This window comes from Homo sapiens, chromosome 11 (genome assembly GCF_000001405.40).
Source record: "Homo sapiens chromosome 11, GRCh38.p14 Primary Assembly".
Taxonomy (NCBI): Eukaryota; Metazoa; Chordata; class Mammalia; order Primates; family Hominidae; genus Homo; species Homo sapiens.
Genome location: NC_000011.10, coordinates 103,108,899 through 103,132,479, shown reverse-complemented (window position 1 = coordinate 103,132,479; position 23,581 = coordinate 103,108,899). Strand labels below are relative to the sequence as shown.

At 35.1% G+C, this 23,581-nt stretch overlaps 1 protein-coding gene across 6 annotated transcripts in view, besides 2 other annotated features; it reads right to left on the bottom strand.

Annotated features, from left to right (window-relative positions):
• DYNC2H1 (dynein cytoplasmic 2 heavy chain 1) overlaps positions 1-23,054 on the bottom strand; it is a 370,438-nt gene extending 347,384 nt beyond the window's left edge. For 5 of the 6 annotated variants that reach the window (NM_001080463.2, NM_001377.3, XM_017018291.2 and 2 more), the window contains exons 1-13: positions 22,711-23,054; positions 18,773-18,943; positions 18,242-18,377; positions 17,185-17,303; positions 15,766-15,910; positions 14,617-14,849; positions 11,899-12,033; positions 11,678-11,791; positions 11,444-11,555; positions 10,984-11,108; positions 9,480-9,655; positions 7,185-7,380; positions 3,475-3,570 (exon numbers count right to left, since the gene is read on the bottom strand). In NM_001080463.2, the coding sequence (NP_001073932.1) occupies positions 3,475-3,570; positions 7,185-7,380; positions 9,480-9,655; positions 10,984-11,108; positions 11,444-11,555; positions 11,678-11,791; positions 11,899-12,033; positions 14,617-14,849; positions 15,766-15,910; positions 17,185-17,303; positions 18,242-18,377; positions 18,773-18,943; positions 22,711-22,905 (1,953 nt within the window). In that variant the 5' untranslated portion in view covers positions 22,906-23,054. Of the gene's footprint in view, positions 1-3,474; positions 3,571-7,184; positions 7,381-9,479; positions 9,656-10,983; positions 11,109-11,443; positions 11,556-11,677; positions 11,792-11,898; positions 12,034-14,616; positions 14,850-15,765; positions 15,911-17,166; positions 17,304-18,241; positions 18,378-18,772; positions 18,944-22,710 lie in introns of those variants that run through there. The other variant, XM_017018292.2, reaches the window with a different exon arrangement.
• Positions 23,222-23,271: an enhancer, noted in NCBI's record as "active region_5452". NCBI's record gives its function as "activates an Ori minimal core promoter by ATAC-STARR-seq in GM12878 lymphoblastoid cells {active_cell/tissue: GM12878}" and the evidence as "EXISTENCE:reporter gene assay evidence [ECO:0000049][PMID:35858748]".
• Positions 23,342-23,461: an enhancer, noted in NCBI's record as "active region_5451". NCBI's record gives its function as "activates an Ori minimal core promoter by ATAC-STARR-seq in GM12878 lymphoblastoid cells {active_cell/tissue: GM12878}" and the evidence as "EXISTENCE:reporter gene assay evidence [ECO:0000049][PMID:35858748]".

The window sequence follows — 23,581 nt, the reverse complement described above, 5'->3', positions numbered from 1 at the left end:
CTGAAATGAATCTGACATAAGAATTATCTGACAAGGATTTTAAGGCAGCCATCATAAAAATGCTTCAACAGGCAGTTACAAATTCTCTTGAAACTAGTGAAAAACAGAAAATCTCAAGAAAAAATAGAATTATAAAAAAAATGAGGTGGAATATATAGAACTGAAAAATACAGTAACAGAAATGTAAAACTGGCTGGATGGACTCAATAGCAGAGTGGAGATGTCAGAGGATGCAATGAGTACATTTGAGAAAAAATCAAGAGAGTTTATGTAATTTGAACAACAAAGAGAAAATAAAGGGAAAAATGAACAGAGGCCCTTGAGACAAAAGAGTTAATATATATATATTAGCTTCCAAGGATTTTGTATATATATACATACATGCTTCCTAAGCATTATATGTGTATACATATATACATGCTTCCTAAAAGGAAGAAGAGAGAAAAACTGAGAAAAACAATAAATTCAAAAAACAGTAACTGAAAACTTAACAAATGTGGCAAAAGACATAAACCTACAGATTCAAGAAGCTGAGTAAACCCCAAATAGGATAAAGTTAAAAAAGGATTCTATGCTTTCCTAGACAATAATTAAACTTCTGAAAACTAAAGACAAAGATTCTTTGAAATCTTGAATGGAGCCAAAGAGATACAATACATTATTCAGAAAGGAACACAAATTCAAATGACAGTAGTTTGTCAGCTGAAATCATGGATGCCAGCAGGACATGGAAAATGTTTAAAGTGCTAAAAAAAAAATGTCAAATATGCATTTCATATCTATTTAAAATATCCTTCAGGAATGAGGGAAAAGGAAAACAAGAAAACATTATCAGACAAAGGAAAGATAAGCAAATTTGTCACCAGCACACCTAATCTTAAACCATGGCTAAAGGAAGTTATTTCTTTAAAGAAGAAAAAAAAATATCCAAAGAAGCATAGAACTTCAGGGAAAAAAAAGAATACTGGGGAGACCATCCTGGCTAACACGGTGAAACCCCATCTCTACTAAAAAATACAAAAAAATTAGCTGGGCATGGTGGTGGGCACCTGTAGTGCCAGCTACTCTGAGGCTGAGGCAGGAGAATGGGTGAACCCGGGAGAGCTTGCAGTGAGCCGAGATTGCGACACTGCACTCCAGCCTGGGCGACAGAGCTAGACTCCATCTCAAAAAAAAAAGAATATTGGGATAAGTAAAAAATATAACTATATAGTAAACTATCCTTTTTGTCATGAGTTCTTTAAATCATATTTGATGATTAGGGGAAAAATTATAACACCATCTGAAGTGGTTTCAATGTATATAGGGAAAATATTTAAGACTAATATATGGAAGTAGAGAGACTGAAGAAACCTAAATAGAAGAAAAGTTTCTATACTTCACTTGAAGGGGACAATGAAGGCATAGTAAGTCTCTGGAATATAGGAGATGCTCAATAAATAGCTGATGAATTAAAAATTGTTTACTGAATAATTACTATATATCACTTACTGTTCTATTGCTTGAGAATATGAAAATAAATAAATTACAGTCTGATTTTCTACAATATAGTGAGTAGAGCATCATACAGAACCTTATGTTCTCTCTACACCTATGCTAGTTTTATAACCACTACTATGTCTCCTTTAACTTGTTAAATATATTTACTTCTCACAACACAATTTTACAAAATAAGTTTCCTCCTCAGAAATATCAACAGACTTTATTTTAAACAAATTTATTAGGGAAGAAAAAGTTGTAAGGACTTGCAGCTAAAATGATCTATACTTTAGAGGGAAAAGGTCAAAAATAATAAAGGGTGATTCCATTTCCAAAACTATGCATACATTTTTTAAAATATGCATACATTTTCAAAAATTTGCATAGAAAAATATTTGAAAGGATGTACACCAGACTTCTTAAAATGGTCATTTCTTCATGGCATGATTATACGACATCTCTTTTTGTTTACCTGTTTTTAAACTTTGCATTATAAACTCATGTTAATCTCTGCCAACAAGAAAAAAAGTGCTTTTAATAACATCTATAATATGAATGATGTAACTTCTAGAATTATCAAGCTTGAGAACTAGTGTGCAGAAAAGAGTTAACATAGCAGGTCTGACTACCATCCTTCAAAAGACCTGCTTAAAAGATGTCCCTTAGTTGGCATTTGGGAACTTAGATTTCAGAAGAGTTCCTACCACTCTGATAAGAGTGGCTCACTGTACCTAAATAATTTGGTTTATGCTGAATATTTGCTTTCCTTCTGGGAGTTTGGAATTTCAGTGCATACTAGGCAGAAAGTGTCTACGTGGCCATCCCCGATAAAAACCTAGGTTTTGAGTCTCTAATGATCTTCTCCAGTAACACGAAATTTCACGTGTTACAATTTGTTGCTGCAAAAAATAAGTACACCCTCTGTGATTCCACTGGGAGAAGACTCTTAGAAGTTCGTACCTGTTTTCTTGGGACTTCACCCCATCATGCACCTTTCCCTTTGCTGATTTTGCTTTGTATGCATTCACCGTAATAAATACTGCTATGAGTATGACCATACACTGAGTACTGTGGATCCTCTGAGCAAATCAAAGAATCTGGGGTGGTCCTGAGGATCCTGACACAACTAGTTATCCACTTTCAAATAGAAAAAAATAAAATGGTATATACCTCTTCTGCTTATTTTTGTCAAACATTTCATGTCTATGAAGACTAAAAATACAGACTTCAAAAAGTTAGTAGTCACATAGTAACATTCAGTTTAAACGCTATTATGGGTTTTCCTAATTTCTTTTTCTTTCTTTTTTTTCTTTTTTTTTGAGATGGAGTCGCTCTGTCTCCCAGGCTAGAGTGCAGTGGCACGATCTCGACCCACTGCAACCTCCACCTCCTGGGTTCAAGTGATTCTCCTGCATCAGCCTCCCGAGTAGCTGGGATTACAGGCACCCACCACCATGCCTGGCTAATTTTTTTGTATTTTTAGTTGAGATGGGGTTTCACCATGTTGGCCAGGCTGGTCTCAAACCCCTGATGTCAGGTGATCCACCCGCCTCGGCCTCGAAAGTGCTGGGATGACAGGCGTAAGCCACTGCACCCAGCCTCCTAATTTCTTATATACAGACATTTAAATAACCACAAATAAAAAGGAAAAAAATATTACATTACAAAATTGGGAGGTGGTGGGAAAGGTCTAAGGAAGCTTGTGTATAAGGACCTCAAACTTCAGAGGATAAATGAACATAACATCATACAAATCATTTTCTATCTATATCAATGCAATTGATCGAAATCAGTACCAAAATATATGAAATATTCTAACCACTTAAACCTACAGTTAGAAAAAATAATTTTACTTGCTAAGATTGAAGGAAGTCCCTGGAAGCAAAACAAAATCTAGATCATTTGATATATTAAGCTGAAGGGAACACCGGAAAATTAAGAATTAAACACTTCACATGTAAAATCTAATTATAATAAAATTAAAAGCCCATTTACCTTAATTATCTGTTCAAATGCTAAGGCAGATTGTAACATCATTGGCCTCTGACTTTGAATCATTTGTTGATCAATAGAATTATAAAAATGTGCCACCTACAAAGTAAAAGTCCAATTAGTAATAATTAATAACTTCATTTTTAATTTTTTATTTTTAATTGTTTGAATGAAAATGTTAACTTTTCTCAATCCTAAAATTTAAACAGAAAATTGGTTTTTCATCTCCAATAGGGCATTTGTTCATGTATTAATACACACAATCAACAAGTAAGTGTTGAGTTCCTACAATTTGCCAAGTCATGTCCTGAGGTCTGATTAAACATAGACTAGAAAACGTTGTCCGGAATCAAGAAGTTCACAATCTCATAGGAAAGAAGGAACTCACTGAAGCATGTTAAATGCTAAAAAACTAAATTCTTAATTCCTGCACTTCTCCAAATCTGCTCCTTCTTTTTTCAGTATATGCTACAATAATTTATTCATGTCTCAGACCAAAAATTCTTTGAGATATCCTTAATGCTTCTCTCATATTCCACATCAGCAAAAGTCTATTGCCTATACTCTCAAAATATATCTTGAATCCAACCACTTTCCCCAACCCCCATCAATTGCATCCCAATCCATACACTCTCCTCTCTTGGCAAGGCCAGTGCAACAGATTTCCTAACTGGTCTCTCTGCTTCCAATCATGGCCTCCTATAATCTATTCAAAGCAGCCAGAGTGGCCTTCTTTAAACATATATCACACCTCTTGCCTACACAAAACCTAATGACTTCCCAATACACCTGAGAATAAAACCCAAAAATCCCAAAACTATTACCTAAAAACTTTCAAATTGTCTCCCAATATACTAAAGAATGAGCCAAACTTGCCTTTTTACTATTATTCTCACCTAACAAGTGAGGCTTCCTTCTAGAATTCTGCATCTGCCATTCCCTCTCCCTGGAATAGTCTTCCTCTAGACATTTGCATGGTTCTTTTGCCTACTTTATGTCATGTCTCTTCTCAAATGTTACCTCTTCATCAAGGCATACCTAACCTGACCGGTCAGTATGAAATAGCAGTCTTTGTCACAATATCTTTATTCTGTTTTATTCTTCTTCAAGGCATTTATCACTATCACTGCCTAACACTGCATTATATATTTATGTGTTTGTTATCTGTCTCTCCAACTGGAATGACAGCTCTAAGAACAGAGCCAAGCAAACAGCAAGGACTCAATAAATGCTTGTTGAATTAATTAATAAATACAGATCCTACAAGGAACAGTGTTGGACAAAGGAGGACACTCTTAACTGTGTTGGTGGAAAAAGGAGCGGTTCAGGGAATAAGATCAAGTGGACACCCTGGGCTGAGTCTAAGGCATTTAAGGAAACTTAATTTTTGTGTCTCCAGCACCTCACAAAATTCTTGGCACATAGTAGATGCTTTAAAAATATTTCTTAACTAATTTTATAGAGATCTTCTTCTTTCCACTAATACATGTAAAAATATACTTTATTTGGTGGGGAAAACCCACTCTACTTATTCTGTACCACAAAAATAGGCCCAGAAAAAGTACAATCAAGAAAACCAGAAGCAATACAATAGTATATATTCTGTTACAATCTAGCCATACTGCTATCTATCCAACATTCTGCTTTATACACCCTATTCCAGCTAAATTCTGCTCAGAAATAAAGGCATATATAAATAGATTTTCCCAGTTGTTCTTCCAGGGTAAATACAAATACCTATGACCATTCATTTTTTGAGCTCCTATTGTGTCAGACTAAATACTTACCATATTAAAGTAAGCAAGCCTCTCTGCTTTTAAGTAGTCGCTCTGACTGAAATGATCACCCAACCCTCTGTGTACTTGAGAAAAACATATGTACACTCTTCCAGACTCACATCAATCATTCCTCTGAAAAGACTTACCTGCTACTACTTCTATCCCTACCTAGGAAAAGAATTGAAACTTCCTACCTCTATGCTTTCACAAGACTTCCTGAACATCTGTAATATAGTACTTATAATACATTAAATATTGATCTACTTGTTCACTATTTTGAAATGAAACAAATAGGCCGGCTGCGGTGGCTCACGCCTGTAATCCCAGCACTTTGGGAGGCCAAGGTAGGCGGATCACAAGGTCAGGAGATTGAGACCATCCTGGCTAACATGGTGAAACTCTATCTCTACTAAAAGTACAAAAAATATTAGCTGTGCTTGGTGGCGGGCCCCTATAGTCCCAGCTACTCGGGAGGCTGAGGCAGGAGAATGGCATGAACCCGGGAGGCGGAGCTTGCAGTGAGCTGAGATGGCACCACTGCACTCCAGCCTGGGCAACAGAGCGAGACTCCGTCTCAAAAAAAAAAAAAAAAAATATGAGTTCTAGAGTCAGAGAAACTTGATATCAAATCCCAGCTTCATAACTTACTATCTATGTGAAACTGGGAAAACTTTGTTAAACATCTGATCCTCAGTTAGATCAGTGGTACAATGGGGAATTAATTAAAAATAACATAACGAAAGCATCTACCACAAGGCCTGATATTTAATGAGCACTCAATGTTTAGTTTACTCTCTCCCACTAGACCAGTGATTCTCAACCAAAGCAGAGTATACCTCAGGGAACATTTGGCAATATCTAGAGATATTTTTGATTGGCAGTGCTAAGCAGATGCTACTGGATATACTAGGTGCAGGACAGGAATGCCAATAAAAAGCATACAAAGCAAAGCACAGCCCCCTAAAAAAAGAATTGATCCAAACTATCAAAAGTAAAGAGGCTAAGAAATTCTGTGCCTGACTATGATAGTACTGTATTCATTTTTATATCCTATGCTATGCCTGACAGGGTAGATATTCAATGAATCCTTGTTGAATAAAAGAATAAATGAAAGACCAAATATACAAGATACTGTTCCTGCCATCTAAAATATAATAATCAAGTCAAAGAAAAAACGAAAAAAATCAAGACACAATATGAGCAGTATTATAACAGTGATTTTCACACTGCCCAAAGAATAAAAATCAACTAAAGAAAGACACAACAGAGAAAGTGACTTGTGAATTGGAAATTAAACAATCACACTGAGTTTTCCAATCAGAGAACAGATTTCAATGCATGGAGACATGTTCAGATGAAAGCAAAGTTTTATATTACTGAAGCATAGGGTACAGTGTGACAGGGAAGTACATAAGTAGTAAAGGCCAAAACCAGTCAGTTTAGTTGGGTCATGATTAAGAAGGGCCTTGTATGCCATGTTATGGAGCTAGACTGTGAGCTGATAATAGTTGATTTTTAGACAAGTGAAATGATGGCAATGTGCCCATAGGTAGACTGAGAAAATGACTAGAAACAGAAACCATTCATCAACCTGATAATTCTTTATGACTCTGCTCCTAGAAGGCAGGCAGAGGACTCCTTAATTAGAAGGCCCTTTAAAACCCATGCAAGTAACATGAAACAAAAGAAGGAAGAATAACATACTATTTTCTAAATGCTTTTTAGAGTGAAAAGCAATAAACAATAATAATTTAATAAATTCCTTATAGGTTACAAAGCAAATTTTGTAATGGACTCATTTAGTAAAACATAATTTCACAGCTGGCAGTGCTATTCTATGAGCCTAAAAAAAAAAAAAAAAAAAGCCTTTAGCATATTCTAGTTTAACGTAATGAACTCCAAATAGGCAGGTATTCAAAAAATGTAATTTCATACTTGTTTAAGAATAATTGCTTGCTTGCAGAATTTCTGTGCAATGTTTGCAACTTGCTGTATTTTGGCAGGAATAACAAAGCCAAGTGCAGAGAGCTGACGAACTTCTCTCAGAAGAATCACCAAACGATCTGAATAATGCACTTTTAGTAATCCATCATTAGAATCCAATTCCATAATTCGACTACTAGCCTCAATACTATAAAACAAAATAAATAACCTGTTAAGTTTCATGTTCTCACTGTTTTGACTAATAAACACAATAGGTTTTTACAACTTTTCTGTACATCTAATATTAGCTCAAAGTAAAAAAAAACTTTTTAATTATAGCTTTTAAGTTGTGGGTTTTTTCCATATATTATTTCACAATTCAGATTTTGGAAACAAACTGCAATATCCAAAATAGATCATCACATTAATATTTCAACCAAGCAGTTTTAAAGTAAGAAAAATCAATCTCTTAACTTTCAGCTAAAACTCAAAATTGACATCACATCCACCATAAAGAAAAAATTTTGATTCATTTTCTAAAGGTATCTTTGATTTTTAAAAAAATCAGTGTACTTGCTTCTTTAGTACTTTTATTAAAACATCAATAATAAGGAATATCAAAATGGTAGGAGTAGAGATATTAAAACGTTTCATTCTTCTACCCTTTGTTTCACTACCTAATAATTGTCCTTTTTTGTGTTTCTTGTAAAGGCTATAATAGCAAATATTACTTTGGGGAACTCAAATCAGAATGGATTGTAAAAATGCTTGAACTAAATTCAGCAACAGGTATTATGCTTTCATCACCTTCCTTTAGGATTAGGTTTATATAATGCTGCTTTTTTTTTTTTTTTTTTTTTTTGAGACAGGGTATTGCTCCAACACCCAGGCTGGAGTGCAGTACAGCGATCATGGCTCACTACAGCCTTGACCTCCCTGAGCTCAAGGATTCCTCCCATCTCAGTCTCCTGAGTAACTGGGACAACAGGCAAGCCACCATGTTCGGCTAATTTTTTTGTCTTTTGTAGAGACAGGATTTCGCCATGTTGCTCAGGCTGGTCTCAAACTCCTGGGTTCAAGTGATCCTCTCCCACCTTGGCCTCCCAAAGTACTGGGATTACAGGCATAAGCCACCACACCCAGCCTCATTATTTCAAATCACCCTCACAATTAAGAAAAATTGCAGGTATTAGAAGGTAACTTACTGAAAAGCAAAGAACAAAAGTATTCAGCTTATTTAATAGCATATAAAACAAAATATAATAAAAAGTAGAACACTTTAAAATGGCTTAAAATGATGATTTAGCCCAAATTTTCCTATATACAAATAAATCATGTCAGTAAACTATTATGGTGACTCTTTTTGCCTTTATTCAGGATTGATCTTCAAATTTAGTTTGTATATACCAGCATTTCCCAAAATATGTCCAAAAACACACTGATGATTCTATGGGACAAAAAATGGGTCTAAAAAAAAAAAGGGCAGGAGGAGGGGGTTTCAAAGCCTAATGAGAAACGCTGTGTGGAAGGAACAAAGTTAAACAAACTTACTAACAGCAGATCTCAGACCGTTGGTATGCTACCATGCTAGTGAACCTCCACTGAAGCTCTAATGATAAAGTATGCAAATTTTCCAAAATTAGTTGACTAAAGCACTGGTTTTTTTTGTTTTTTGTTTTTCTTGCCTGGAGTATCTCTCATGTTTTAGGCTCAAAGTAGAAGGAAAAAGAGCTAAATGGCATAAAATTATAATCACTATGCCCTAACACCGTTCAGTTTCCTCTATTTTTCCTCCAGAGCCAGAATTCCAGATTTAAATTCCCATTAGAATTAATAAGGTTAACTCATTAATACATTCAATATAGCTCAATAAATATTTACCAAAGCCATATTACGTGGGGCACCATGAAGAAATACTCTGTCTCAAGGAGTTTAAAAATAATACAATTTTACAAAACCACAACATTGTTTAAAGTGTATGTGTGTGTGTGCATATAATATTAATGTAAACAGGTAGAAAAACATATAAATACCAATAATAAAAAAACATGGGGAAAGACTAATCCTAAAATGGGAATCCATAATTCTGGGGAACAGACAAGAGAAACAAGAGGGAAGCAGTTAACTAAATCATCAAAGTTTCCAGCCTTAATGAATTAAAAGTTGATGATCAAAAACAAACAACAAAAAAAAATTACAGGAGGAGTAGCAAGTTTGGAGAAAGGAAAAAGATAATTAATTCCCTCTGGGTATTTGGATTAATAACATATGGTTTTGGATTTTACAGTTTAATATATCTATACTTACCACAAACCAGATCTGGAATCAGATAAACCTGATTGAATATCCCTGGACCAATCATCAAATTGTTCCTGTTCATATAGTTTAAGCTGGTCTAAGAGATCTTTGGCACTTTGATGGAAACATCGAAATCCTGGCAAGTCAGATAAAAGAGCCTCTGCAATCTTGATAGTATCATCTACCTTAAAAAGCCAAATTACAGACATGTGCATTATTTAAATTCCAAAAAAATTAGCATAAAGTAAGGAGTCCCCTTCTCTGATCTGTGATTCAGAAATTATTTTACCTTTCATCTATAAACAGTGAAACGGAAGATTCACCAAAGAATATAAAAATATCAACCCCTACTTTGCTTCTGAATTATACAGCCGCAGAAGAGCAAACGCAAGAGGATAACCCATACAAGGCATAACTCCAAGAATAAAATGGAGGGTAAAGGGAAAGTCAGCCCTCAAAATATCTGTGCCCCAGTGATTTTCAGAGGAAACTCTGAGAACTTCAGCATTACTGCTAAACATGTTCAGTAATAATTTCGGCCCTTAGCAACATGCTCCGATTAAAAGCACAAATAGTAATTAGGCCAAAGGGAATGTCAATTAAGAGACATAAATGCCTTTCCTCCACAACTGTACAGAGAACATTAGAGCACCCTGGAAAACTGACTGACAGAAACATTAGGCAGAATATATCAGAAAATAAAACATCAAAAATACAAACCTGAATAAGCAGAAATGTCGAACATGCTGGCTTTTGTAATATTCCATGAGGTCTTGCTCTTACTCACAGACTATAATCAATTAACATTTATTGTACAAGTCTAATGCAAGACACTGAACCACATACCAGTTAGTAAGTCCATAAGAGTCTTAGGTCAATTTTAATAATATTAAAATAATAGTCGTTTACATCTATAAATTGTTCTCACTACCTTAGACCATGCCATAATTACCTTTTACCTTTCCTTTAACTTCCTTCCAACCTAAAGTGATTTAGTTACATAAACATACTTGCAGGTAAGACTTTGCAACTACTAAAATTTTACAATATTTTTTTTTTGAGATAGCATCTCTTTCTGTCGTCCACCATGGAGCACTGTGGCACAATTATGGCTCACTGCAGCCTCAATATCCCAGGTTCAGGTGATCCTCCCACCTCAGCCTCCTGAGTAGCTGGGACTACAGATGTGCAGCACCATGTCCAGCTCATTTTTGTAAACAATAATTTTTCTTTTTTTTACTCAGCATAAAGGATGTTTTCCTCCTGAATACAGGTATTTCTTTGGAACAACTGCAATTGGAATAAATGATGCATTATCTCTACAGAAAGAAGGAATAGAACCATTACGACTCCTCTGCATACTTTTTCAGTGTTCTGCATTTTGTATGAAAATTAGACAGACATGCCAAGGAAAACAGAGAATATATTTACTACAGCTCTAGAGTACCTTCTACATGCCTTAATTTAGCAGATTTTATAATTAGTACTCTTCATCTTTTATTAAAATAAATACCTTCAATTCCAACTGGCGAACCCAAACTATACTGTTGACAACTTCTGAAAGATTTTTGCCAGAAAGTGGTCCAGATGCATCACCAGGAATTCCTCGGCACCGATTCTCAAAGTCTAATCGAAAATCTATAAAATTTAAATCAAATAAATGATTACAAAGAATTAGCAAAGATTTCCTAAATAACTTCCACGTACCAAGCACTATGTCAGATGCTGTAGAAAGAAAAATAATGAGTTGGTCCTTATCCCCAAGGACTGTACCATGTATCAAATGAAACAGCGAATTATAATAACTTGTTAATGCAAAAAAATCTGTCATTTATAACAGAATAAGTAAATTAATCTTCAGCATGAAAATGTCAGAAAAATGTATCTTTAATCCTAAATGGTATGCAACGAAGAAAAAAGTAATATACAAAAATATTCTCTCAAGCAAACACTATAATCTCATAAACTTTTACCTTTAATTGAGTCCACAAGTCTTGCCAGTAAAGTTTCTCTTTCTAACATCAATTCTTTGCTTATAGTTGGACGCTTTACCAACTCTTTATATTTCAGGAATGCTTGAAGAAGCTAATATAAAATAAAATAAGTACATGTTCATCCCAACGGATCAACTCAGTAAATATATATATATTTTTATATATATATTAGCTTAAGAGAAATATTAAAAGTGAAATATCTCAATGTTTTACCTGCTGTGGACTGTCTTGAATTTCTGAAATATAATTTTTCAATTTTCCTGCTATTTTTTGTTCCGCAGGTGCAATAATCTTTTCATATTGAGACACCGCAGCTTTCCACAAGGGCTACATACATTAACAACATTGTTAGACTTTAGTATTTTTTAAATCTGTCTTTAAAAAGAACAACATAAACAGGAAACTGTACAGACATAAACAAATATATATACAACCTCAGTATATGGATTATATTGCACAGGATTCAGGCCAGTAAAAGGTTCAAATACTCGAGTGAGGCATATGATTTTCTCTTCACTGGCAGGTAGAAAATAGAGAAACTTCTCATGAATTGTTCTAATAGCCAAGACCTAAAATGAAGTATTAAAACAACAGAATTTATTTAAATCCAACCATTTGCATAAATAGGTCTAAAATCTAGATATATTGGGCAAGAATTTCTTTAAATTAGGTTTACTAAAAAAAGAAAAAACCAATAAAACTGAAACTCTAGTCCAGAGAATTGCCACGTGACAACAACAAAGTGATGCTCAAAAACATAACTGTTTCTTCACACTAACATTAATAAGTGTGCTCAAATCTAGTGAATATATAAGACCTAAACATTTTTAAACTATGTTTAAAGTTTAACACAGTTTAAAAAACTGTTTAAACTATATTTAGAGCTCATTTAAGTAAATTTTTAGAGCCTACCCTTAATATAGTAATAACTTCTGATTTTCATTATTCTGCATTAAATTGCACTTCTAATAATGAAATGACATGTTAACAGCCCTATTTTTTATTATTTACAAACAGCTGGGAAACACATATTGTATTTTGAGCTAAAAATTTCCACCAACAATCAAAAGGTAATCAAAAAAGTTAAGTGAAAACAATTCCTTCTATTTGAGTTGTAAATCTCAGTATAAACTCATGATTTATTTTTCTCTTGCTAAAAATTTACCTGTTAGCAGTTCTGTCTACTGAGAATGCCTAACAGCATTGATAACTAAGTAACAGCACTTCCCCTACAGACTGTTGATAAATAGCCCCCAAAAAGAATGAGGCTCCTTGAAAAAAATTACTAATTCTAGGTATGAGACATAAAATGTACAACATGGGCTGGGCTGGAACATTTTTGGGGGCTTGAAAGCTATCAAAGAAATACTGAAGTTGGCCAGGTGCAGTGGCTCACGCCTGTAATCACAGCACTTTGAGAGGCCGAGGTGGGCGGATGACCTGAGGTCAGGAGTTCAAGACCAGCCTGGCCAACATGGCGAAACTCCATCTCTACTAAAAATACAAAAATTAGCCAGGTGTGGTGGCGTGCACCTGTAGTCCCAGCTACTCAGGAGGCTGAAGCAGGAGAACTGCTTGATCCTGGGAGGCAGAGGTTGCAGTGAGCCAAGATCACCTCACTGTACTCTAACCTGGGCAACATATCGAGATTCCATCTCAAAAAAAAAGGAAAGAAAGAAACACTGAAGTCATGTCAAAATGGCATAGGAGGCAACTTGAAGGGGCACTCTCTGCCCAAAAACTGAACAAATTGAGTATAATAATAATAATAACTAAAATGGACTGAAACACATAAAATACAAAAATTTATGGGTTCATAATGACACTATCAAAAAACATTTCATTGGTTGCCAATGGAACTTACTATGACACTAATCTACTTAATGTTCATTGTTCTAAAGTGATAAAAAGAAATAAGCAATTATCTATACTGCCGTTTCTATGCAAACTATATTTCAAAGTAACAAAAAGTTGAAGAAAAAATTCTTCTTATAGAAAAGTCATGACTAATAAAAGCAGAAAAAACACCAGAATTAGAAAATCACCATTTTGTAACTCTTCATGATTAATGACTGCTAAAAGCATTTTTTAAAAGTTGGAGAGCATTATAATAAATTCATCAGACTGATCATACCTGAACCCTCACAGATTAAACTTAACAGCACTAAAAATGGGAAAACCTAATACCACATACGTCCTGATATAGCAAGGTGAGAAATGCCATATGGCATAAAAAAAGGGGAAACTTTTAAATTAAAAATGTTTCAGGAGACCTATCAACCAAATACAATGGGTGCACCTTGTCTGCAACCTCATTCAAGTAAACCAACTATTTACAAATTTCTGAGAAAATCAGGATAAATACATGCTGGCTAGACATAAAATGATATTAAGGAATTATCGTCATTTTGTTGGCTGTGATAATGGCATTGTGGTTATGTTTTAAGGGTGGAAGTATACAATATCTCTGCTTTATAAATATTCCATTTAAAAAAAAAGGTTAAGAGAAAGGCAGGGAAGACAAAGATGAGAAAAGAATTGAAAAATGTCAATGACTATTAAAATTGAATGGTGGATACGTGGACATTCATTATACTATTTTACTTTTTAATATGTTTGAAATATTTCATTTTTTAAAAAAGTTTTGTTTTTTTTTTTAAAAAAGTCTCTAATAAAGAACTATAGTTCTTCTAAGCAAGGCAGGAATGGTCAGTTTTGCAATCTTTAAGTAATCTCATTTTGCCTGTCCCTGTAAGCTGAATATATGTTCTTTACTGAAACTCATAACTTGTGTAAATTAAGCAATTGTTTCAAATATTTCCACTGAATACCACTTAAAAAGTTGTCCCAACTTAAAAACAATTGCAATAGCCAAAAGACCCCCTGAAAGCTTCCATACATGGTCAAGTGGGCTGATTATCTTTTTACAATAAAAAACAAAATATAAGCTCACAACTATCAAGTTGACCAGTCTCACACAAAATAAAAAGAAAGGATGTAGAAACTGGCCCAACAAGAACTTTAATTCCTATTCTCTCACAAAACTAATTTCCAGCAGATGTATAGTGCTTATTGATTATAAAATACATTTACAAACAAGTGAAGATACACTTTACATTTAAAGACAAAGATCTAGATAATCAAATTGATACCTCTTCAAGGCGTTTGCCAAGTTTGTCAAGTGTTTCTGGAAAATATTTTTCATTTTTCCATGGATGAGGAACATAGCGCTGCCACACCTGACCTGTTAGATGATTACAGACTATCACCCACTGTTCACAAATTGAAATACCAGCTTTCAGACTTTCTTTCACAAGATAATAAGGATCTTCCCACAGGTTCAAAGTTCCCAACTTTTTCTGAACAAACCTTCCAAATGAACCACCTAATAAAACATAAAGCAAAGAGTTTAAGGGAAATAAATGTATTTTTATAGAAAAATTATAAAATACATGCTTATGACAATATTTTTAAAATATACAAATTAGCCAACTAAGGATCTATGAAATACCACATGCATGTCCTTAGACTACCACTCTCAGTAACAAATATTTTTAAAATCACACATACATATTGCTTTGCATTTTTGCATCTTTCAATTTTCAATATACCATTACACCTTTTAAGTATAGAAATACATATGCAGCACACCAACGTGGCACATGTATACATATGTAACAAACCTGCACGTTGTGCACATGTACCCTAGAACTTAAAGTATAATAAAAATATATATATTAAAAAATATATATATATAAAATATATATATTAAATATATATATACATATATTAAATATATATATATATATACAATTTCCTCAAGGCTGCAGAGCCTACTGTATGGATACTGCATTATGTAAACAATCCCTAATTGCTATTTACTTCTGCTCATCACAAACAATGCTGCAATAAATATATTTGTACATATAACCTTATGTACTTATCTGACATTTCCTTATAAAATAATGACAAGGGTATTTTCTAGGTCAAAAAATTTAATATTAACAAATAAGCCTATATATTTTAAATAATTTTTCAGTTTATTTCAAAATAGCCTAAATATATATATAAATACTAAAAATCTATGTAAATTTGGTTATATCAATGGTTCAAAGAATTTGACACATATGATTTATACCACCCAACTATATACAAATATCTATTTAAATAATGCTACATGATTTGCTTTAAGAGTTACAGTATTACATAAAGGAGCATTTTAAGTAAGGACTTAAAGGATAAAAAGATAACAAAATAAGACAGGTTTTCAAAATTCCAAAAGTTCATTTTTTTACTAGTACCTATGATGTCTAAGAGATGCAACATTCGTGACTCAGGATAATGATCATGTTCTGTTTGTCTCCACACATCATCTACAACATCCTGAGTAGTCTCCACCAAGTCAACAACTTCTAGTAAGGATAGACTGTCCAAGTTATAAAACTCCTAGAAAAAAATGCATTAATTTTTAAACATAATTATATTTGTACCTTGGGTAATATAATCAAAATGTTCCCAGGCCTTTTCAACTGCCACAACTCTAATATTTGCCATATTATTTTCTCCTCCTTTTTCTAACAGCTTATAACTACTTCCATATGCAAATACCCTATAATTTCCCCCCAAACATCAATGTCATGAAAAGAAAGAATATATAAAAATTGTAAAAAGTCTACTCATTCATTTACACAATTGGCCTAATTTTCTTTAAATTTTGATTTTTTAAAATTTACCCATTAAAGGTTATCTCAACTCCACATATACACTACCCACTGTAGTTCGCATGTCTTTATTCATTCATTATTAATTCATAATATTATGTTTAAGAATAACACAACCACAGTCCAGATTTGTCATGCTATATTTCATCATTGTTACCAAAAAAAGCTTAAAACCATTTAAAACAGTCTATTAAAATATTATTGAAATAATAGTGGAAATGAGTAGAAAATTAATATATATTTGTTTTGAAAAGAGTAGACTTTTTATGTTCATACTTAAAATGGTCACTCAATTTCAATGTAGACACATAAAGGAATAATCAGTTAAATAAGCATAAAACTAAAACTTTTAGTATTTCAGATTACTTCAAAATGCTAATTTGAACAAAGTGAATACCCATTCAAAAGAACGTATTACCTGTGCATGGATAAACCTGTTATATTTGTTTTTCACTATATACCTGCAGAAAAGTAATTTTGGGGTTTTTTTTGTTTTTTGTTTTTTTCTAGAGATGGAGTCTCGCACTCTTGCCCAGGCTGGAGTGCAATGGCACGATCTCCGCTCACTGCAACCTCCACCTCTCAGGTTCAGGTGATTATCCTGCCTCAGCCTCCCGAGTAGGCGCTCACCACCACGCCCAGCTAATTTTTGTACTTTTAGTAGAGACGAGGTTTCACCGTGTTGGCCAGGCTGGTCTCGAACTCCTGACCTCAAGTGATCCACCCACCTCGGCCTCCCAAAGTGCTGGGATTACAGGTGTGAGTCACCATGCCCAGGCGTAATTTTGTTTTTGAGAAAAATATTTTATAGAGATTAGAATTTAAGTTTTGGATTTCTCAATTCATTTTACATATACAACTTAAAGTTTTCTCCATATAAAGAATCTATTTTGTTCACAATCATCAAGTACATTTTAAAACAGAAGAGAGGCTGTAAAAATTGAATCCCAAAGTACTTTTATAAGAAGCCCAATATATCACCATTTATGAATCACATACTCTTGCAATTGTTTCAAATAATTCTTTAAAATAATTGGCTCTTTCTTTACTAATCTGTTTATTTCCACGGTGAGCTTGTTCTATCCAAAACTGGAACTCATCGCTTGGTGTAAGGATACCTATAAAAGTCAAGAGGGGAAAAAAATGGCATAGAATATCAGAGAAAAAAAAATGAATACAAAACAGCAGAGCAGCAAAATATTTGAGTCATCTAACACATATGCTCCTAGCTGAGGTCAAATAGGTGACACTTCCTTATTGTTTCCTATTTCATACTATAAACAAAGTGTCCTTCCTGAAGTCTACTTAGTGCCACATTTTTTAGATCTGTGTGCTTTTTGTTAGTGATTCGCTGTTTAAAATGGCCCCCAAAAAAGTGCTAAATTGCTGTCTAGTGTTCCAAAGCACAAGAAGGTTGTAATGTACCTTACCGAAAAAATACATATACTAGATAAACTTCATTCAGGCATGAGTTACAGTGCTGTTAGCCATTAAGTCAATGTTAATGAATCAACAATATACACAAATTAAAGTGTCTTTAAACAGAAAAAAAATAATAAGGTTATGTATTGATCAGTTGATGAGATGTTATGACCAGGGGCTCAAAGGAACCTAATCTTGTATTGCTCCTAGGAACAAAGGTTCAATATTCACTAATTCAGTGTTTACAGTGTTTACAGTGACTTTATAGAACACAACTACTGCCTCGGCACTTTGGGAGGCCTAGTAGTGAGGATCCCTTGAGGCCAGTAGTTTGACACCAGCCTGGGCAATACAGCAAGACCCCATCTCTACAAGAACTAAAATAAATTAGCCAGCGGATAGTGGTATGCACCTGTAGTTCTAGCTACTCTGGAGGCTCAAGCTAGATTGCACATTATTAACAATTATATTTTCCTCTTCTCTACATCCACATAAATCTACTCATTTTTTAAAACCTATGCTCAGAGAAATTCCAAAAGTATTTGAAGAAATCTATGAAGAAATATGTTCATTTACTAATGTATTAATGAGACAATCATTTTGTACTCTCTTTTATTAAGCTATGGTTATATACCTCGTGTGTCATCTTCCTTAAATTTCAATTTTGTTAAGTTAGTGTCTGATCTTCGTAGAACTATACCCAACCCAGCTTCTAGTTCACTCAAAAGATTCTGAAGTTTGGGATCAAAGTTTCTGCTCCATTCCTGATCCTAAATAAAAACAGACAAGAGCAACCAAGATTGATCAAAATTTTGCTAATCAAATTGGCTTCCCAAAACACTGTCCAAAACCCCATTTTTCTTAAAGCCTGCCACTACCTCCACTTCATAAGAAGAATAAAAAGTCCTCTCAACAGTTAAAACTATGAAAAGCATTTAATGTAGAAATGTTGAGTTGATGTGGATTGCATTTTATACCTTTCTCCAATTTCTCTATTTTTTACCACAACTTACATTAAAATTTAAGTTAAAAAAAGTTAAGAAAAGATATTTTAATTAAAATTAAAACACTACTAACATTAACAGTAAAAAATAGATATTTATGTTTATATGAAAACATTTATCCAAATACCTCAGTTAAAAAAAATGACAGCTTCTTTTCTCACCTTTAACAACATTGGTGCGAATACTTGCCGTACTGCTTGGTAAAGAGAACTAATAGGTGACTCTAACATAGATGAAACAAGAATGTTATCATGTAGATTCTCATCAGTAATTACTTCAGGTCGCAGCTTGAAAAACACCAGCACTTTATCTTTTGTGTCACCAAACTCAATCTAAAGTGATAAATGATTTTTAATGTTATCTTCATAAAATTTAATATTTGAAAAAAATGTAGACAAAGTTCTATCACTATAATTATACCTCTTGGAAAAAAATAGTTACTTTAAAAATAAATATATTAAAACCAATTTATCTCTTCTTTCCTTAAGAATACTTCAGTTTAAAAACTTATTCCCACTTACATTAGATCATAAAGTCACTTTGATAAGTTATTTATAAACATAAAACAATATATACGTTGTTGACTGCTAACTATTCCATTCCAGTCAGATTCCATTCCAGCCAGATTCCATTCCAGCCAGAGTCCATTCTAGCCAGAATCAGTAATAGTACAGATGAAAGCTGTAGGCTCCAGGTACACAATGAGTAGTGTGCTTCTCTAGTAACCCAGAAAGTCTATAACAAAATGTAATTAATTACCCTCTTACTTAGAAAAAGCATTTTAAAAGGTGCTTTTAAAATTATACATGCACTCAAAACTACCAAAATGAACTTAAGTTGTCTATCTCCTGAAATTAACTTTATCTTAACTGAAAATTTTTCCTTAAAGAGTTAAGAGCATAAAACTTTGTTAAATTGTCATATAGCTAGATTATTTTAAATCGGAACCAGATGAACTCAATTGGAATTCACTACAGCAATCTTGTTTAAAATAGGTCAGTTCATAGTAATGAGTTCATTAGCTGAGAACTATACTAGTCAAAGGAAGTTTTTGCATTATACACACATTCTCAGTTATTCTCATTTCTTTTTTCAGGAAAAGAAGTCTACACATTAAAAAGCTTTCAGACAAGGTCACTGCTGTGTAGGAAGAACAGCTATGGGTCTCATGCCACTTATTTCTATCCAAATAATTACATTTTTGGCCACTGGAAAGGAGCTGAAACTTTGTTACTGCTCAAATGCTTATAACATTTCATGACACATGAAAAGTATATGAAATCCACATGTCAGTGTCCATAAAGTTTTATTAGAACATAGCCATTCCCATTCAATTACATGTATTATTACAAAGTATTACATGTCTGCTTTCACACTACAAAGGCCAAGTTGTAGCTGCTAATGGAGCCCTTGTTGCCTGCAATATTATCTGACCCGTTACAGAAAACTTTTTGCCAACCTCTGTCCTAAAGCATAAACCAGATCACAGCTCTCTCTTGCTTAAGATTACCAATAACTTCCTATTTCAATTTAAATGGTATACAGTGTCCTAAATGATCAGCCTGTGCCTTATTCTCCTTTCTCATCTACCACAATGTTCCTTCATACCATAAACTCCAGCAATCACTCTGGATTTTTTTTCTTGCCCCTGGAAACTAAGTTAAAACCCAGCTCAGGGCCTTGGTACTTACAGTTTCTTTTGCTTAGAACACTCTTCCCCCAGGTTATGCCTGCCTGCAACTCATCATTCAAATCTCGCTTCAAAGATAACTAATCCAGAGAGGGATTATCTCCCACCCTATATATCTTTAGTTCCCCACGCTGCCCCATCACTACTATAACATTATTTTTATCTTAACGGCACTTATCAATACCCAAAATTATGTTACATATATCTGTAGCATGCGTTTAGCCTACCTTTGTCCATTCCAATGTTACTCCTTTAAGATACGGACTCTGTGTTCATGGCTTTGTCCCCAGTACTAGTAGGTAGGCAATAAATATTTGCTGACTTATTAACTTATTGAATCACGCTAACTATCAGGCAACTAAAGTACAACTGAAGACATAACAAAATATTTTCAAATATGACTAAAAACCTGTAGCGAAGTGTACAACTAAAAATAACAGATACATCGTTGGGCTTTACTAGTAATAGCTTTAACTTAAAAAAAAAAAGTTCTACCTTCAACTTTCAAATACCCAAGCCAAGATACACTTTCACGAATCCAAACCCCTTTCCATCTTTCCTACTGCATTCTATCCGAACTTTCAGTGGCATTTACAACAGTGTGTCCTGATTTTATCATTTGCTGAGTATATGTCATCCTAAGCCACTGGAGTGAGTCTAGGAAAGGCAGAAAGCAGGGGGCTCTATCCTGAACTACGCTACCTATTGGAGAAAAAGAAAAGTTAACATTTAGGTTGTAAATTTTGTCCCTTACTTTCCTCAGCCATAAAATAAGAAAAAGAATAGTTCCTATCTTACAATGTCGTTATGGCTATTAAATGAACGAATACATATAAAGTACTTAGAACAGTGCTTGACAGAGTCTAAAGTGAAAATAAATGTTAGCTATGATTATCCATCCTTTTTATATCTTTGTAAACCCATCATGCCTGGCAAAGTGCCTTGCATGTACTGAGTTCAAAGTAAATGTTTATTAAATACAATCGAATTAAACCTAAGAATAAAGATAGTGAATAGGGTGAATGATTCAATCATCCTATAAAAATGCACTGAAGCCAGGCACGGTGGCACACACCTGTAATCCCAGCACTTTGGGAGGCCAAGGCGGGTGGATCACCTGAGGTCAGGAGTTCGAGACCAGCCTGACCAACATGGTGAAACCCCATTTCTACTAATTGCAAAAAATTAGCTGGGTGTGGTGGCACATGCCCTGTAATCCCAGCTACTTGGGAGGCTGTGGCAGGAGAATCGCTTGAACCCGGGAGGCAGAGGTTGCAGTGAGCCAAGATTGTGCCATTGCACTCCAGCCTGGGTAATACGAGCGAAACTGCGAACTGCGTCTAAAAAAAAAAAAAAAGGCACTGAATGTTTTTGCTGAGTGTCAAAAACTCTGCTAGACCTAGGGATAAGGGTGAACACCAAAGGAAGAGGTTTAAAATATGTCTTTGTTTTATTAACTTAAATCTATTTACTGAGTCCCCTTTAATGTGTCAGGCAATTTTCTTCTGTGTTTTTCTTTTAGGCTTATATATATAAGCCCTGATTGCAAATGCAACCCATTTTTTAAGCAATCCTGCCAGTGGAGGGAGCAGTGCAATTAATAAATCAGTATATCACATGATGTACACCAAAAAAGAATTCAAACTTTATTTTGAAATATATCATTTCACAAAAATTTAAATTCCTAACTAATCTTTCCCTTGGGCAATGTTAAAATCAGAGCCTGATCCAAAAAAGATAGACTAGAATTTGCCTTCCCCCCAAAAAAAAAACTCAAAAAGGGGAGAGAAAAAAATAAAAATAACTAAGTAAATGTTTTCTTTTTAGTTATAACGTATCTGCAGTCTTTCTTAAAAAGTAGAATATAGGCCGGGCGCGGTGGCTCATGCTTGCAATCCCAGCACTTTGGGAGGCCGGATCACTTGAGGTCAGGAGATGGAGACCCACATGGCCAACGTGGTGAAACCCCCGTCTCTACTGAAAATACAAAAATTAGCCAGGCGTGGCGGCGCGCGCCTGCTACTCGGGAGGCTGAGGCACGAGAATCGCTTGAACTCAGGAGGTGGAGGACGCAGTGAGCAGAGATCGCGCCACTACACTCCATCCAGCCTAAGCGACAGAACGAAACTCCGTATAAAAATTTAAAATAAAACACAATCTAATTGCTTCTATTCAGATGTATGGAAGGGAAACATGCTTCGGTCAGGTAGGATGCAAAGCTTGGAAACTACCTGCTTAAGCACGAGGCCAACGCATCTAAGCCAATAATGCAGGAGAAGTGGAGACAGCCTTGGGTTCCTGAAAAGGATCTGGTTGGTAAAGCTAAAGAGTGTGACCCGACGTCCCTCTGGCTGGGCCTGGGGACTTGAAGAGTGGTCAGGGGTCAGGCAGGAGTGCAAGGAACCGTACCGTGTTGGAAAAGGAGATTCCTGCGTCGGATCGCTGCACCCTGAGGAGCATCTGGTTGCCGTCATCCAAGAAGTTGTTGATTTCAAGACAGTTGCACAACAGTGGCTGATCCCAGAGTTCAGACATCAACCCGAAGTAATTCTGGGTAGTAGTGAAGATGAAGAGCTTCCGAACGTCCGCAGTCCCGTTCGCCATGATTGGAAGGGGTGGAGGGAAGTTGGGGGAAGGGGGAAGGAAGAAGAAACCAGTCCGGAGGGAAGTGAAGGGAAGAGAGGAGCTTTGCTCAAACCCGTAGCCCGACCGCGGGACCGCAGAGCTTCGCGGTTGCCAGGGGTAGTCGCTATGGCGACGGAGCACTACGGCGGCGTCGCTGGCGGCGCGCGGTGGGCGTTGCCCTCTCGGGGCACGCGCACGCAAAGCTCGCGGAGGCTATCGACCGCCTCGGAGCTCTTCAGCGGCTCCCTGCGGTCATCGATTGTAAGGGGTTCGGACAAGTTTATGTTGGCTCTCAAACATGTCTTTTATTCTTCTTACTGATTTCTTATCACGCATAATCAGAAGAGAGACATCTAGCCTTCAAGTACAGCAGCGTGATCTAGATTTAGGAGAGCTGGGTTCCAGTGCTCGCTCTCCACGTGCACCTGGTAGCAAACCAGTCTGTCAGCGTCAAGGTACACATCTGTTAAGAAGGGGAAATACTATCTCACAACCAGGGGTGTAGTGCGGATTGTAAAAGATTACTATTTAAAAATCGCTTTTTAGAGAAGCTTATAAAGACTAGGAATTCAATACAATGTTAATTTACTTTCTCAGTCGCCCTCTGCTCCTTTCTGTGCTGCTGCATTTCCCAACATCGTTTTTTCTATTATTA